The sequence below is a fragment of the Homo sapiens genome, chromosome 5 (genome assembly GCF_000001405.40).
Source record: "Homo sapiens chromosome 5, GRCh38.p14 Primary Assembly".
Taxonomy (NCBI): domain Eukaryota; kingdom Metazoa; phylum Chordata; class Mammalia; order Primates; family Hominidae; genus Homo; species Homo sapiens.
Genome location: NC_000005.10, coordinates 37,485,892 through 37,505,244, shown reverse-complemented (window position 1 = coordinate 37,505,244; position 19,353 = coordinate 37,485,892). Strand labels below are relative to the sequence as shown.

The 19,353-nt window shown below is 40.4% G+C and overlaps 1 protein-coding gene across 5 annotated transcripts in view; it reads right to left on the bottom strand.

The window, feature by feature from the left end:
* The window catches only part of WDR70 (WD repeat domain 70), a 374,118-nt gene that overhangs the window by 248,191 nt on the left and 106,574 nt on the right, over positions 1-19,353 (bottom strand). The gene's annotated exons all lie outside the window — the stretch shown is intronic.

The window sequence follows — 19,353 nt, the reverse complement described above, 5'->3', positions numbered from 1 at the left end:
GCTTAGAAATCGATATTAAATCCAGATCTACTGCAATCAAAGCTTATACAATATGAGTGAATATGGCAGAGTTGCCTGATAAAAGACAATGTAATATATTGAAGCTAGAACCCTACAGTGGGTAATGAGGAATTTTAGACAGACATTTGATTACAGCCACCAGTAAATATATATAAAGTAAAAATAAAGGCATTTGGCTGATCTAAAATGTAATACCAATCAGTCAGCACCTGTGATTCTTTTACTTATATTTTTTGGGTTTTTTTAAAACAAATTTCAGCCCAATTTTCTTGAGTCATTATCTCTCTGCAGCAGCAGAGGAAGGGCCTGTACCTGCCTACCAATGACCTGGTGTCCTTATATCTACCCCAAGAGCAGGGATACTAGCTGTGTCCAAATGGGTTCTGAATTCTACAGACTCATCAACATGAGGCAAGGAATCACTGAAAACCACTTTTGTCTCCTTTAGGAGAATGACATATCTTTAGTATTTTCGTGCTTATTCTTCTATATCTACATATGCAAAGCTTTCCTTAACAGTAAAGGGTAAATATGCATAGTGGGAAGAGATCAGAACTTTACAAGTGAAGGAGAGCAACTTCAGAAATGAATTATTTTCTTTGCTTTATTACTTTTACCAAGACAGAAAGTATTGTATTGAGAGATAATCTATTTCCATAATCAGTATGTCTCTAAATTATATTTAAATCATTTCATTCTGTACTATATTTTCAGGAATTAGAGAATATGTTATTCATTCACTTGAAGGTACCTCTGTAGAAATAACCTAAAACTGCAGAAGGATCTGTAAAAGCTAAACATGGTGTGCTTAGAAACTGCAGATTTTAGATCTAATATATACTGCATTAATAAATGATATAAAGCGTTGAAAAGGGAAAAAAAGCTACAGTAATCAAGACAGAATGGTACTGTATCAGAAAAAGATAAACACATACCCATAAAACACAAGGGAAAGCCCCAAAATAAACTCACTCAAATATCATCAACTATTGATATTTAATATTTGACAAAGATGCAAAGGAAATTTAATAAAGAAAGGTCAGTTTTTCCAACTAATAAGGCTGAAATAACTAATCAATCATATGACAAAAAAAGATAATCTCAACCTATTATTCATACTGTATACAAAAGTTAATGCAAAATGGATGACAGCCCTGAATCCAGAATCCAAAACAGTAAAACTCTAAGAAAAACTAGAGAAAATCTGTGTTTGGTAAAAAGCTCTCATGTACAACACTGAAAACAGAATCCAGAAGACATTACAACTGACACCAAAGAAATACAAAAGATCATTTGAGATTACTATGAACACCTCTATGCACACAAACTAGAAAATCTAGAGGAAATGGTTGAATTCCTAGGAGCATACAACCCCCAGAGCTTGCATCAGGAATGGAAATCCTGAACAAACCAATAGCAAGCAGTGAGAACGCATCAGTAATTTAAAAAATAGCCAACCAAGAAAAAAAAAACAAAACTCAGGACCAGGTGGATTCATAGCAGAATTCTACCACACCTTCTAAGAAGAAGTGGTGCCAATCCTACTGAAACTATTCCAAAAGATTGAGAAAGAGAATGTGGTACATCTACACCATGGAATATTATGCAGCCACAAGAAAGAATGAGATTATGTCCTTTGCAGGGATGTGGATGGAGCTGGAGGCCATTATCCTTAGAAAACTAACACAGAAACAAAAGACCAAATACCGCCTGTTCTCACTTAAAAGCAGGAGCTAAATGATGAGAACACACAGAGACATAGAGGGGAAGAACACAAACTGGGGCCTATCAGAGGGTGGAGGGTGGGAGAAGGGAAAAAAGCAGTAAATACAACTAGTGGGTACTAGGCTTACTACCTGAGTGATGAAATAATTTGTACAACCAATCCCCATAACACACGTTTACCTATGTAACAAACCTGCACATCCTGTACATGTACCCCTGAACTTACAGTTTAAAAAAAAAAAGATAAGAAAAGATTGAGAAAAAGGAGGGAATCCTCTCTAACTCATTCTATGAAGCCTGTATTATCATCCTGATACCAAACTTAGGAAAAAATGTAACCAAAAAAAGAAAACTACAGACCAATATCCCTGATGAACACACACGCAAAAATCAACAAAACACTAACAAACGTAATCCAGCAGCCCATCAAAAAGATAACTGACCATGATAAAGTGGGTTTCATCCAAGGGATGAAGGAATGGTTCAATATATGTGATATAGTTTGTGTATTTGTCCCCAGCCAAATCTCCTGTTGAATTGTAATCCTCAGTGCTGATGGTGGGGCCTAGTGAGAGGTGTTTGGATCATGGGGGTGAATCCTTCATGGATTAGTGCTGTCTTTGTGATAGTGAGTTCTCACAAGATCTGGTCATTTAAAAGTGTGTAACAAGTCCCCGCTCACTCTCTCTCTCGCTTCTGCTTCCACCATGTGAAGTATCTGCTCCTGCTTCATCTTCTGCCACGAGTAAAAGCTTCCCCAGGCCTCCCCAAAAGCAGATGCTGGTGCCATGCTTCCTGTACAGCATGCAGAACCATAAGCCAGTTAAACTTCTTTTCTTATAAACTACCCAGTCTCAGGTATTTCTTTTCGGCAATGCAAGAGTGGCCTAATATGCAAGTCAATAAATGCAAATTCACCACATAAACAGAATTTAAAACAAAAACCATATGATTACCTCAATGGATGCATAAAAAACATCCGATAAAATGCCCCACAGCATCCCTTTATGATAAAAACAAGCAACAAACTAGGCACAGAAGGAATATACTTCAAAATAATAAAAGCCATATACGACAAATCCACAGCCAACATCATACTAAATGGGGAAAAGTTGAAAAGAATCCCCACCTCTCCCAAGAATTGGAACAAGACCAAGTTGCCCACTTTTACCACACTTCTATTCATCATAATACTGGGAGTCCTAGCTAGAGCAATCAGGCAAGAGAAAAAAAATAAAGGGCAACCAAACTGGAAAATCAAATTAAGATCTGATTCTCAAATCAATCCCTTTTACAATAGCCGCAAAAAATAAAAAAAAAGGAAACCTAGCAGTATACTTAACCAAGGAGGTAAAAGATCTCTACAAGGAGAACTACAAAACACTACTGAAAGAAATCACAAATGACACAAACAAATGTAAATATGTCCCATGCTCATCAATTGCAAGAACCAATATCATGAAAATGATCATACTGCCCAAAGCAATCTACAGATTCAAGGCAATTCCTATCAAAATACCAACATCATTTTTCACAGAATCAATCCTAAAATTCATATGGAACTAAAAAAGAGCCTGAATAGCCAAAGCAATTCTAAGAAAAAGAACAAATCAAGAGGTATAACATTACCTAACTCCAAATTATATTGACAAGGCTACAGCAACCAAAACAGCATAGTACTGGTATAAAAGTAGATATGCAGACCAACAGAACAGAATAGAGAACCCAGGAATAAAGCCAAATACTTACAACCAACTGATCTTTGACAAAGCACACCAAAACATAAATTGGAGAAAGAACACCCTATTCAATAAATGGTGCTGGGAAAACTGGACAGCCACAAGCAGAAGAATAAAACTGTATGCCTACAAAAATGAACTCAACATGGATTAAAGCAAACTTGTCCAAACCATGGCCCGGAATGGCTTTGAATGTGGCCCAACACAAATGTGTAAACTTTCTTAAAATACTACAAGATCTTTTTGCAATTTTTTTTAAGCTCATCAGCTACCATGTTAATATATTTTATGTGTGTCCCAAGACAATTCTTTTTTTTCCAATGTGGCCCAAGGAAGCCAAAAGACTGGACATCCCTGTATTAAAGAGGTAAATCTGAGACCTGAACCCATAAAAATTCTACAAGAAATCCTAGGAAAAACTTTTCTGGAAACTGGCCAAGAATTTATGACTAAGACTCCAAAAGCAAATAAAACAAAAATAAATAAATGGGAACTAATTAAACTTAAAAGCTTCTGCACAACAAAAGAAATAATCATCAGAGTAAAGAGACAACCCACAGAATGGGAAAAAATATTTGCAAACTATGCGCCCAACAAAGAAAGCACTAATATCCAGAATCTACGAGGAACTCAAACAAATCAGCAAGAAAAAAAAAATCCCATCAAAAAGTGGACAAATGACATGAAGACACTTCTCAAAAGAAGATATAAAAATGGCCTAGGCCAGGTATGGTGGCTCACGCCTGTAATCCCAGCACTTTGGGAGGCCAAGGCGGGCTGATCACCTGAGGTCAGGAGTTCAAGACCAGCCTGGCCAACATAGTTAAACCTTGTCTCTACTAAAAGTACAAAAAATTAGCCAGGTGTGGTGGCGCACACCTGTAATCCCAGCTACTATCCCAGCTACTCGGGAGGCTGAGGCAGGAGAATAGCTTGAACCCGGGAGGCAGAGGCTGCGGTGAGCTGAGATCGCGCCATTGCACTCCAGCCTGGGCAACAAGGGTGAAACTCTGTCTCAAAAAAAAAAAAAAAAAAAAAAAAAAGCCAACAAATATATGATAAAATGCTCAACATCACTAATCACTGGGGGAATGCACATTAAAACCAAAATGAGATGCCACCTTAGTCCAGCCAGAATGGCCATTATTAAAAAGTGAAAAAACAATAAATGTTGGTGTGCATGTGGTGAAAAGGGAACACTTATACACTGCTAGTGGAAATGTAAACTAGTACAACCTCTATGGAAAACAATATGGAGATTTCTCAAAGAAGTAAATCTACCGTTCGATCCAACAATCCCACTACTGCGTATCTACCCAAAGGAAAAGAAGTCATTATATCAAAAAAACACGTGCACACTTATGTTTATTGCAGCACAGTTCACAATTGCAAAGGTATGTAACCAACCAAAATGCCCATCAATTGATGAGTAAATAAAGAATATATGGTATGTATACACCATGAAAAAATACCCAGCCATAAAAAAGAACGAAATAATGTCTTTTGCATCAACTTGGATGGAGCTGGAGACCATTATTCTAAGTGAGGTAACTCAGGAATGGAAAACTAAATACTGTATATCCTCACCTGTAAGTGGGAGCTAAGCTATGGGTACACAAAGGTATATACAGTGGTACACTGGAAACTCAGAAGGGCCTAAGGAGAGGAATGAGGGATAAAAAAACTACATATTGAACACAATGTACACTACTCAGATTATGGGTGCACTAAAATCTCACACTTCACCACTGTACAATTCATTCATGTAAATAAAAACCATTTGTACCCCAAAAGCTATTGAAATTTTTAAAAATATTTTTAAAAACACAATCTATAAAGAAAAAAATTGATAAATTAGAATTTGTTAGAATTTTTAAAACTTCTGCTTTACAAGGTGAATGAACAGAAAAGCCACAGACTGACTCACGCCTGTAATCCCAGCACTCTGGGAGGCCAAGACAGGTGGATCGCTTGAGCCCAGGAGTTCAAGACCAGCCTGAGCAAAATGCCAAACCCGTATCTATAAAAAATACAAAACATTAGCCAGGAGCGGTGGTGTGCACCTATAATCCCAGCTGAGGTGGGAGGATCGTTTGAGCCCAGGCTGGCGAGGCTGCAGTGAACCGAGACGAGAGAGAGAGAGAGAGAGAGAGAGAGAGAGAGAGAGAGAGAATATTTCCAAATCACATATTTAAAAAAGGACTTAAGTTGAGAATATATATATTTTTAAAAAAAAACTGAAAAACAAACATTAACAAAATGAACACTTCTCTCTTCCCCAATCTGAGCAGAAAAAAATTGAATATAGACACTTCATTAAAAAAAGATATGAGAAAGACAAACACAGGCCGGGTGTGGTGGCCCATACCTGTAATCCCAGCACTTTGGGAGGCAAAGGTGGGCAGATCACTTGAGGTCAGGAGTTCGAGACCAGCCTGGCCAACATGGTGAAACCCCATCTCTACTAAAAATACAAAAATTAGGCAGGCATGGTGGTGGACACCTGTAATCCCAGCTACCTGGGAGGCTGAGGCAGGAGAATCACTTGAACCTGGGGAGTGGAGGTTGCAGTGAGCCGAGACTGCACCACTGTACTCCAGCCTGGGTGAGACAGCAAGACTTCATCTCAAAAAAAAAAAAAGAATGACAAACATGAAAAGATGCTCAACATCATTCATCATGGGGGAATGCAAATTAAAACAACAATGGGATCCCACTAAACACCTATTTGAATGGCTAAACTACCAAAAACTAACAATACCAATTGCTAGTGAGGCTACAGAGCAACGGAAACTCTCATTCATTTCTGGTGGGAATGTAAAATGGTCTAGCCACTTTGGAAGACAGTTTCACAGTGTCTTATAAAGCTAAATACAGTCTAACCACACGATCAGCAATCACACCCCTAGGTATTACTGATTTGAAAACATGTTCACACGAAACCTACACACAAATGTTTGTAACAACTTTCTTCATAAAGTTTTGTTGGTAAGACATATTTTGCCAATGGTACAGATGTGGGGTGTGAGGGAAAAGGGAGAAGTCAAGTTTAACTTACAGGTTTTTGACTTCCTCAACTGGTGAATGGCAATGCCATTTACTGAGAAATAAAGACAACCAACTGCAGAAGGAATAGGTCTAGGAAGAAAAGTCACAATTTCCTTTTTTGACATGTTAAGGTGAGATACATCTAAATTTGTCAAGTAGGTAGTTGGTAATACTGGGCAGGTGAGAAAATAGAGTAAAATCTGTAAATTTGTATGTAATTAGTGTCTATACATGATATTTAAACTCATGTATCCAGAGGCAGAAGCATAATACAAAAGAGGGCTCAACACTGAGCCCTGGGATATTCCAATATTTAGAAGTTGAATAGAAAAGGAGGAGTGAAAAAACAAGAGTGAAAAGGAACATACAGTGAGGTAAGAAGAAAACCAAGAGAGCACCGTAAATTCAAAGTCAAGTAAAGAAGCTGTTTCAAGGAAGTGACTGTAATCAGCTGTGTCAACTGCTACTGAGAGTTACAGTATTACCAGAGCTGAGAACTGACCATCAAAGTGCCATGAAATTATTTTCATAAGCAAATGAATAGAGTGCCATGAATAGAGAAGTAAAATTCATCTCAATTTTGTGCAACCAGCCGGGTGCAGTGGCTCACGCCTGTAATCCCAGGACTTTGGGAGGCTGAGACTGGCAGATCACTGGAGACCACGAGTTCAAGACCAGCCTGGACAACATGGCGAAATCCCACTTCTACTAAAAATACAAAAATTAGATAGGTTTAGTGGAGCACGCTTATAATCCCAGCTACTCGGGAGGCCGAAGCATGAGAATCACTTGAACCCAAGAAGCAGAGATTGCAGTGAGCCAAGATTGCACCACTGCACTCTAGCCTGGGTGACAGAGTGAGACTCTGTCTTAAAAAAAACAAAAACAAAACAAAAAACAAAACAAAAAAAAATCTGTGCAACCAAAGTACTGAAAAATAAAATGATTTAAATCCAAAGGATTTCTAAGGGTCCCATTAATCTCTTTTGAAAGTAGAAATTTGTCAGCCTATGCTTAAGAAAAAAAATAATTAATTAAAAAAAGAGAAAAAGAAAATACCTATTATCGAGGGCAAACAACTTCAGGGCAAAGAAATAGCTCATTGTACTCCCTCCAAGTTCTCAGTATAGATAAATTTGGGCTGAAGGCCAGATTGCATGTGGAAGGAAAGGAAAGGGAAGAGGGAAGGGAAGGGAAGAGGGAAGAGACGGGAAGAGGGAAGGGAAGGGAAGAGGGAAGGAAAGGGAAGACGGAAGGAAAGGGAAGACGGAAGGGAAGGGAAGAGGGAAGGGAAGGGGAGGGGAGGGGAAGGAAAGGGAGGGAAGGGGAGGGAAGAGAAGGGAAGAGGGAAGGGAAGAGAAGGGAAGAGGGAAGGGAAAGGAAGGGAAGGGAAGGAAAGGGAAGGGAAGGGAGAAGGGAAGGGAAAAGGGAGGGAAAAGGGAGGGAGGAAGGGAGGAAGGGAAAAGGGAGGGAGGAGGGAGGGAGGACGGAGGAGGATGGAGGGAGGACGGAGGCAGGGAGTGAGGGGGGAAGGGAGGGAAGGAGGGAGGGAGTGAAGGAAGGGGAGTGAAAGAAAAGAAAGAAAATAATTTATAGTGACTAGCAGTTAACAGGGATCTGGTCTGATTTTTGCCCCATTAGATATCTGCCTCTGAGCAAGGAAAACAGTTCATGATTTGCAATAAAAGAAACATTCCAATAATCCAAGACATGCCCAGCCTTTGAGGACTTAGATCCTAAACTACCTTGTCTTCCCCAATCCTGTACACTACACCACACTCTCAGTCTCCTCCTCTGCTTAACTAAGCTCCATCTCCACTGACATCTCTGCCTAGTCTCTTAATCCAATGCATAGCCTGCTTATCTCCCAGTCAGTTCCTAGTTTACCAGCTTCCTCTCCTCATTCCCAGACTCAGGAATTCTACAGATGGCTGCTACTCAATTCCATCCTTAGAACCATACTTCTTGTACTTTGTCTAAACAGCAACCCAACAACTCACTCAACCCATGCAGGTCTTAAAGGCAGACCCCAGAAAGCAGATCTTTTACTGATATTTATTGATTAGAGTTGAAATGTCATCTTGAAATAGAAAGGATACTTTTTAATAAAAGAAAACTACCCCTATTGCAGAAGACATTAGTGAGTCCGGAATTGGTTCCTTCTGGTGGGTTCTTGGTCTCACTGACCTCAAACATGAAGCCATGGACCCTCGCGGTGAGTGTTACAGTTCTTAAAGATGGTGTGTCCGGAGTTTGTTCCTTCAGATGTTCAGACGTGTCTGGAGTTTCTTCCTTCCAGTGGGTTCGTGGTCTGGCTGACTTCAGGAGTGAAGCCACAGACCTTCACAGTGAGTGTTTACAGCTCATAAAGGTAGTGCGGACCCAGAGTGAGCAGCAGCAAGATTTATTGTGAAGAGTGAAACAACAAAGCTTCCACAAGGTGGAAGGGGACCCTAGCAGGTGGCGGCAGCTGGCTGGGGTGGCCAGCTTTATTCCCTTATTTGGCCCTGCCCACATCCTGCTGATTGGTCCATTTTACAGAGCACTGATTGGTCCATTTTTACAGAGTGCTGATTGGTGCATTTAAAAACCTTTAGTTAGACACAGAGTGCTGATTGGTGTTTACAATCCTTTAGCTAGACAGAAAAGTTCTCCAAGTCCCCACCCGACCCAGAAAGTCCAGCTGGCTTCACCTCTCATTAGGATAAAAGGACATGTGGTCACCTTTACTGTTAAGTACCCAGAATAAGAACACAGATAGTAGGTTAAACAGAAAAAACCTACAAGACTGTGAATGTTGTTTCTTATTTGTAAAGACAGGAGCATGACAAAGGCAATGGGAATGTTAAGTGCCCTTGTGTTAAAACAGTGACCAAAATTAGTCATAACAAAATGAAGTTCAACTAAGGATTCTTAAATGGGTCTAAACAGATTCAGTACCATGGCTAACATTAGTGGAACAATTTTTAAAGAGACACCTATTAAAGAACAGTTAGTGACTAAACACTTTTTCACCAAATAAACTACTTTTTCTCTCTTCTTCTCTTATCTAAACATAGGCACTCCTGAAAAATATCTCTTCCTTTATTTAACAGCCTTAACTGGAAATAGCCTAGAAGAAAGAATTAAGCAACTATTTATTTCTCATAATATGCTATACTTTGAGAGAGGACATTAATTATCCATGACCAACACTGGTTTCCTCAAAACACACACACACACACGCACACACACAGAGAGAGAGAAAGAGAGAGAGAGAGAGAGAGAGATTGCTGATAATCTGTCTGTAATCTGTCTGTACTCTTGTGGCTACCCCAATGACAAGTTATAAAAACAGCTCCCTTTGTAACAGTGCCATCTGTAGTTACTGAATGATAGTACCCATGTCTTTGGCATGTTGAGCTAACAAAGCCTACCCCCAAGAAGAGACGAAATGCAGCAGAAAATAGTAGGGAATATACTGGGAACTCAGATCCAAAAGTTCTTCTTAACTAGAGTCCATTCACCACCTTTCAGGAATTATCAAATCTCCTGAAATGGTCAACAAAATTTTGTGTGAATACATTTTGCTGGGGAGAATACTCACAGCTTAAATTCAGGAATCTGCACACATTTTTTCTAAAGGGTCAGATCACATTTTAGGCTTTGTGGGCCACATGCTCTCTGCTATAACTGCTCAACTCTACCACTGCAATTCAAAGGGAGTCACAGGGAATAGTAAATTAATGGATGTGTCTATGTTCCAATAAAACTTTTATTTACAAAAACAGGGTGGTGGCTGGATTTGCCCCAAGGCCATGGTTTGCCAACCCTAACACACTCTTAGTCATTTGCTTGCATAAATCAAGGATTCTAAAGTCCAAGTCTAATTCCTGAGTAATTTTAATATCCATTTGAATACCTCAAAAACAAATTCAATCTTCCTTGGCCTACTCAATTCTGATGACTTGTTACAAGATATTTCAGCAGTGCCAACTATGGCTAATTCTGCCACTACCATGAATGGTCATAATATGCTTCTAAAATCCTGAACTCTCAATATTTACTGATTTCACAAATATTTATCACCAAATATGTTTTAGGCTCTAGATATCACACTTACTGGCCACACAACCTCCTATCTTGCAGTTTTTTGAATTCTTAAATTTTCAATATCCTAAACTTGAACCACTCTCTCAGCATAATCCTGAGTGTCCTTTTGTTGAATCTACAATGAAGTGCTTTTATTCCAAAATAACCTCCCCCGTTCTCCCCCACAGTCACCGTAGTCCATCCAAATACCTAGGCTCCTGAATAAGACTCAATAATAGGATATGAACACGCAGAATGATTGTTTCTACAAATTTACATTTTGTAGCCCGTAATACTTCCATAATTCTTCCAGTAATGTTTCTCTCACAACCATCAACAGCTGTTCTATGTCTTTACAATTCTACTGAAGGCCCTATCCCAATATCTCCCAATACAAAACTAGGAAATGTCTCTGCTAATAGATGGAGGCATTATTCATTTCCTATCTAAAGCTACCACTTGTAAATACAGCTGCATATGAGCTCATTCTTATCCCTTCCATTCCCAGTGCAAAAGTACTCCAGCCAGACGTGGTGGCTCACACCTGTAATCCCAGCACTTTGGGAGGCCAAGGTGGGTGGATCATTTGAGGTCAGGAGTTTGAGACCAGCCTGGCCAACATGATGAAACCTCATCTCTAATAAAAATACAAAAATCAGCCAGGCATGGTGGTGGGCACCTGTAATCCCAGCTACTTGGAAGGCTGAGGCAGGAGAATTGCTAGAACCGAGGAGACAGAGGTTGCAGTGAGCAGAGATCACGCCACTGCGCGACAGAGTGAGACTCCATCTCAAAAAAAAAAAAAAAAAGTATTCCTTCCTCCTACCCAAAAGCTAACTCCTGCTCTTTGTTTGATCACAATCCCTAACAACTCCTCAAGGACTTTCATCATTACTTAATATGTTTGGTTTTTACAGAACTGCATTAGTTTTCTATTGCTCTGTAACAAATTACCAAAAACCTAGGGACTTAGTACACCCCCGATTTATTACCTAACAGCTGCGTAGGTCAGAAGTCTGGCACAACGTAGCTAGATTCTCTGCTCAGGATCTCACAGACTGAAATCAGGATGTTAGTAGAACTGTACTATTTTCTAGAGGTTCTGGGAAATAATCTGCTTCTAAGTTTATTCTGGTTGCTGGCACAATACAAGTTCCTTGTGGTTGTAGAACTGTGATCCCTATTTGCTTGCTGCCTGTCAGCTGGGGCTACTCTTAGCTTTCTAGACCCTATGTGCAATCTCCATTAGATGCAACATGAGAAAGATTCTCCTTTGCTGACCCTGAAGATGGAGGGAACTATGTGGCAAGGAATGCATTAGGAATGCTGACCTAGTAGCGTGCAGTCTTACTGACACCCTGATTTCAGTCTGTAAGACCCTCAGCAGAGAAATGTAGCCACATTGTGACAGACTTCTGACCTAAACAGCTGTTAGGTAATAAACTGGGGGTGTCCTAAGTCCCTGGTTTTTGGTAATTTGTTACAGAGCAATAGAAAATTAATGCAGTTCTGTAAAAAACAAACATATTAAGTAATGATGAAAGCCAAACCCACAAATCTTTGCAAAACAACCTGTTCTTTATCTATAGCTGTTGTTTAACTTGTTAAGGAGCAATACTCTTAAGTTTCCTAGAGATCACCTGGTTTGGTTAAGAAGATCTGTGAGGCACGCCCTTAATTTCTTGGAAGAGTCCAGTGTGACTGAATACTCTCATCTTTTGATCTTTCTGAAGTTATTATACAGCCACATCCCTGGCTTTCTCCATACCATGCTTTCAGAAGTTATTGCTATATGTTAGCATCCTTTGTCATCTTGATAGGCTAAAAATTAACTAAATCATCTAGTCTTGGTTCCCTTTTAACAAAACTTCCCTTGGTTTTCTCATATTTTACTATACGGAGCAAGAAGAAACCAGGCAGCACCTTCAACATTTTGCTTAGAAATCTCCTTGCCTATATATTCAAATTCATCATTCACAAGTTCTGGTTTCATCTTCAAAACCAGCAGCAGAGAATCTCCCTGACATCAAGTCCCTCCTACACTTAGAATACCTTTTGCCAGGAAGAGCCCAACTGCTTTTAAGTGCTCACCTGATGAGGCTGGATCCACTGAAGACAATTTTCTTTCTTAAAGTCCATTGTGTCACACAATGTAATCATAGGAGTGACTAGCCCATTATACTTATAGTTCAAAACTACATTCAAGGAGAAGTGCAGGGACTCTTAGGAGCCATCTTAGAATTCACCCTACAACAAGAGCTTTGGGTGTAGCAATTCTGAAACTACTTTCCATGTACTGTAACACTGAACAAATGAGTAAATATAATTATAATGTTAAAAGCCATGTTCTTCACTGTTGGAGAAGTGAATTACGAATATGGAACGGGAAAAGGCTAGAAAGTTGGATTAGAATTAGATGTATCCAAATGAACTCATAATTTTTTACTTATTTTAATTTTTGGATTGGTTTATCTCCCTCCTAGCTTTGTCTTTTGAGGCTAGAAGCAATGACACCCAACAGCAATGAATATAACCAGAGTACCAAATCTTAATTTCTAAATTGACTTCCCTGTTGAATGAAGCCATGGATCACTAGAAAAGTAGGTAGGATCAAATTAGGGAAAGTATAAGATGACCCTGGAACATCTTGTTGTGCCAAAATGTAAGAAAGTACTCCAAAAATGATGGGGACATGTCAAAAGCGCAGAAACCAATGTTAAGAAGTTTCTATTAAAGTTTCTGTAAATATTTAGAAAATGGAAAGAAATAAAATGTACTTCAAATCATTCAATTTTTTAGTTATATCTATTATTAATACCTTAAGTTAACAGTTTTCTTTTGCTCAAGAAAACAAAAATAAACCCAGAACAGTTATTTTAATAAAAATTAAATATTTTAAGTTCTTAAGAGAAAGTATTCACCAGTAAAAAGACATGACTAATATATTTCATCTCCAAATAATAAGTGCCATTTTTTTGGAATAGCTGGGTATCAGAATGACTACACGTACTATTCAAAAATAAATAAAACATCTGAAAACTCTTCTAACTTCCATGACTAAGATCCGCTAATGGAGATATCTCCCACTAAAATGTCCAAGCATTCTGAGGTATCCTGAACCTGCTTTCTCCACCTTAGTCATGTAATTTAAAAATAAATGGCAGAGAATTGCTTTCATGTTGAAAAGAAAAAGAGTTGAAGACAATCCTGGAGAAAGGCACTGAACAATATCAGCTCTAGATGAACTGATAAAAGAAAGCTTATGGGGGACTTCAAGATGGCTAACTAGAAGCACCAGACACTCACCTCCTCTACAAAGAAAAGCTTAATGAGTAGATAATCACACTTCAAATACAGCATCAAAGAGAGAATGTTGGAATTCAGCAGAGAAGTGACAGGCACTGAAGAAAGCAAGGCACAGAGCCCAGCCAGGACCAGCTGGGAGCCCTAAGAGGCTCCTCAGTGTGGGGAAAAGGTGAGTAAAAGATTCCCAGCATCCACATTCTCCCTGTAGATACCTGCAATCCTAGCCATAGCACAGTCCCTTAACCCTGACAAGCTGAGACTGGTATAAACAAGCTTCTAAAGAGGAAGCTCACAATAGGTTCCACGCACACCTGGAAACCCAAGCACCTGCAGCATGGCACGAATTTGAGAGCCCAGACCCCACCAGTCTGTTTTCTTTCTGGGGCCAAACAGTACCTGCATCTCCACATCCCTGGAGGCCCCATGACATCCCCTCATACCCACTGAGAGGGTTGTAGCACATGACACCAGTTGGACCCAGCACAGCAGAAATATCCCCAGCACTCTGGATCACACAGCATCCAGTACACTGAAGAAAGGACAATCCAGAGCCCTGTGGATGCTGCCTCTAGGACAAAGGGAGCCAAAGCCCAGACCCACCTGCCTCAGGTCACTGCCACTGAGAGTAACCTTGCCCACCTACCCCCGGCAACAAAGCCCCAGCACACCCGCACATGCTCTAAGGGCAGGCTCTCCCTGCCTGCTGCTGCAGCCAGGGACCAGAGCCTAAGAATCACCTGCCTGGGGCAGGTACCACAGACAGCAACCCTGCTACCCACAACAGCAGGACTGTGGTACATGTGCCTTGAGGACAGGCTCACCCTAGCCAATGCAGCCAATGCCACAGGGAATAGGGGAAGTGGAGACAAAGCATGTGCTCTCCAGAGACTGAGATGTATCTGCCTGGGATGGCTACCACTGGCATCAATCTCCCTCACCACCACCCCCACCACCTCTGTCATTGAGCCTTCCCCTTAGCAGAGCTGTTCATTTCCACATGCCCTGAGGATAGACTCTCCCTGCCTACTACTGCTGCTGCAACCACCACCCAAGGACACTATCCAGGACATGTTGATCACCCTGCCCTGCCCAACACAGCCTGCATTTGTGCACAACATCAGAGGCCTTAAGGACAAGCTCACAAGGTCTGGCACCAGCAACCCCAGTGCTCTCTATCACACTGCCCAGGGGCCTATGGATTCCCCTGCACCATCAGTCACCTCAGGCACATGCACATAAGGAGACCAAACAGCCCCAGAATGCCTGCCGCACCATAGCACGCCATCTGAAGGCCTAGGAATTGCCCCCGTCCCACCTACCACAGCCTATACCCATTTGGACCATCAGGGGGACCTGATGACAGCCCCAAAATGCCTGACACTGGGGGGAAGGGGGAGGGATAGCATTGGGAGATATACCTAATGCTAGATGACGAGTTAGTGGGTGCAGCGCACCAGCATGGCACATGTATACATATGTAACTAACCTGCACATTGTGCACATGTACCCTAAAACTTAAAGTATAATAATAAAAAAAAAAATGCCTGACACTGTCACCCCCTGAGTGCCCTACCACACCACCCTAGACCTGACAATGTCACCCCAACCAAGTGCCCTACCACACCACCCTACCATATAGCCTAGGATTGCTGTGCCCCACTGGTCACTCCAAGCAGGAGTGTGTACTACCAGATGGCATAATAACAGGCCAGAAAACCTACTGCCAGTGCCTAAGCATGCCATCTAAAGGCCTGGGGGTTCACCCTGCCCAGTCTACCACTGCTTATATCTATCTACACCCCCTAGGGGCTGGAGGACAAGGTTGCTCAGCCTGCCACCACCACCAAACCTGGCACCCAGCTATGTGTACCACCTGGGGGTCTGAAGACCAGGCTGCCCAGTCTGTCACAGCCACCACTAACAACAGTGTGTGCTACCTGGAAGCCCAGGTGTTGCCCTGCCACTATACTGCCATCACCAACACCATGCACAATGCTCAGGGGCCCAACCCACCCACTCAACTCACCACTGCCACTACTGGCACCTCAAAAAGCCACCTGGAGGCTCAAATATCAGCCTGTCTGAACCTACTAACACCAGTGCTCATATACTGTGCGCAAGGGCCCAAGAACAGGGACATTCAGCCCAACATTGCCACCACTGGGGCCAGAAGACTGGCCCACCTGGCATTGCCACACCTAATTAAACCTCACCACAGCCTCCACTAACAAATTCACCTAAGCCTCTGAGGAAAACACAGACACCACTGACAGGGTTTAAAGCCAAAGAAGTCATATGGAGACTACACTACTACACAAATCCAGAATCAATGCTGAAGCGCCCTACCTAACCAACACCATAGATACATCTACAGGAAAAAATATTCCTCTATGAAAGCCAATCCAAAAAACTGGAAGAAGTAACTGTTACAAGAGTTGCACAGATAACAATGTAAGAACACAAGAAACACAAAAAAGCAAGGAAAAGTGACACCTCCAAGGGAACACAATAATTCTCCACCAACAGATTCCAGCGAAAAGAAAATATGAAATGTCTGAAAAAAATTCGAAATCGTAGTCTAAAAGAAGCTCAGTGATATACAAGAGAACACAGATAAACAATACAAAGGAACCAGAAAAACAATTTGGGATATGAATGAGAATTCACCAAAGATAAATAAATTACAAAAACAAAATCTTAGAATAATTCAATAAACGAAATAAAAAATACAACTGAAAGCTTCAACAAGAGACTAGATCAAGCACAAGAAAGAATTTCAGAACTTGAAGACAGGTCTTTCCAAACAGTCCAGTTAGACAAAAAAAAAAAAAAGTAAAGAACAAAAAAGAATAAAGAAAGCCTACATAATGTATGGGACACCATAAAGCAACCAAATATCTGAATTGTGGGTGTTCCAGGAGGTGAAGAGATCAATGGCATAGAAAACCTATTTAATAAAATAATCGTTGAAAACTTTTCAAGTCTAACAGGAGACTTAGACATACAGATACAAGAAGATAGCAGATTCCCATATAGATACAACCCAAAAAGGTCTTTTTAGTGGCACATTATAGTCAGATTGTCAAAAGTCAAAGACAAAGAGGAAATTCTAATAACAGCAAAAAAAAAAAAGTCTAGTCACATATAAGACCACACCCATCAGACTTAACAGTGGATTCCTCAGCACAAACCTTATAGGCCAGAAGAGAATGAAATGATATTGTCAAAGTGCTGAAAGGAAAAAAAAAAAAAAAAAAGCCACCCAAGACTAGTACACTCAGCAGTTATAATGAAGGAGAAATAAAGTCTTTCTCAGGCAAACAAAAGCAGGAAATTCATCACCACTAGGCCAGGCCTACAAGAAATGTTTAAAGGAGTCCTATACCTGGAGGCAAAAGAGTAACAACTATGGGCTGGATGCGGTGGCTCATGCCTGTAATCCCAGCACTTTGGGAGGCCTAGGCAGGCAGATCACGAGGTCAGGAGCTCAAGACCAGACTGGCCAACATGGTGAAATCCCGACTCTACTAAAAATACAAAAATTAGCCGGGTGTGGTGGTACGTACCTGTAGTCCCAGCTACTCGGGAGGCTGAGGCAGGGGAATCACTTGTACCCGGGAGGAGGAGATTGCAGTGAGCTGAGATCGCACCACTGCACTCTAGCCTGGTGACAGAACCAGACACCCTCTCAAAAAAAAAAAAAAAAATACATATATATATATATATATATATATTTATATATACATACCCATATATAAAATGATATAAAGAATATAGATACAAATTTAATAATATAACAACTTAATATAATTAGGAGGGCCTGCTTACATATGAAGTATATAATATTTTATCATGATAGATTAGATATATTATTAATAAATTGCTTCCTTTAACACCCTATTCATTGAATTTTCCAGTAAACCACAATTACTAATTACTCCTGAAATCAGAAAAGAGGTTAAAAACATTTTATAACAGTATCCTATGAAATCTACTACTTTCAAGTAATAGTAGTTGAATTACCAAAACCCATCACTCAAGCCAATGACTACAATTAAGATATCAGTAACATTTCCTAGATAAATAAAGTCAATTAATTATATTTGCATCTGGGAAATGGAGAAAGTACATATAAGCCATGATTTTGAAGTCAAAAGAGAGAGAATATTTGGCAAGGAGGGGTGAGTTATAGTATGTAATTATAACATATAGTAGTTTTTTGTATGCTGGTAACTAATTTTAATTTCCTACACTTTTATGTAGATTTCTGCTATTCTTGTCCTACTTTCCTAATCATCTTTCTATATGGATGACTACATAAGCCTGAGAATACCAAAAGAGACAGACACAGAACCAATCGGATTCCTTTCTTCTTGAAGCTTCTGCACAGCAAAAGAAACTCTCAACAGAGTGAACAGACAACCTACAGAATGGGAGAAATTTTTGCAACAATGCATGTGACAAAGATCTAATGTCCAACACTGATAAGGAACTTAAACAAATTTACAAGAAAAAAAATCTCATTAGAAAGTGGGCAAAGAACATAAACAGACACTTCAAAAGAAGACACATGCGGCCAACAAGCATATGAAAAAAAGCTCAATATCACTGATCATTAGAGAAATGCAAATCAAAACCACAATGGCATACCATCTCACACCAGTCAGAATGGTTATTATTAAAAAGTCAAGGCCGGGCATGGTGGCTCACGCCTATAATCCCAGCACTTTAGGAGGCCAAGGCAGGCGGATCACATGAGGTCAGGAGTTCGAGACCAGCCTGGACAACCTGGCGAAACCCCGTGTCTACTAAAAATACAAAAATTAGCCCAGCGTGGGTGTCGGGCGCCTGTAATCCCGGCTACTCAGGATGCTGAGGCAGGAGAATCGCTTGAACCCGGGAGACAGAGGTTGTAGTGAGCCGAGATCATGCCACTGCACTCTCCAGCTTAGGTGACAGAGCGAGACTCTGTCTCAAAAAAAAAAAAATTATATTTGAATTTTGTTTAAATCGCTAACACATACTGGGCATTCAATAACAAAAGAAAGGACATGAGATTGTGATCCTTATGAGGGTTTGAGAGGCACTTCACTAGGGTTTAACATAGAGCAGTCTGAAACATACTGTAATAATTTAATCCAATGGCTCATCTACAGCACCTAAAAAGATTACAGCAGATTCTCATTATTCAGTGTAGTTACGGTCTAGAAAGTTCCATGAACAAATAAAAAGTTAGGTTTCAGCAAGCTACTGGTCACATTTTTGTAAACTTACCAACACCTACTTTTGTTGTATGTGTGCTTATTTAATATATATTGTTGGCCAGGCACAGTGGCTAACGCCTGTAATCCCAGCACTTTGGGAAGCCAAGGCAGGCGGATCACTTGAGGTCTGGAGTTCGAGACCAGCCTGGCCAACGTGGTGAAACCCCGTCTCTACTAAA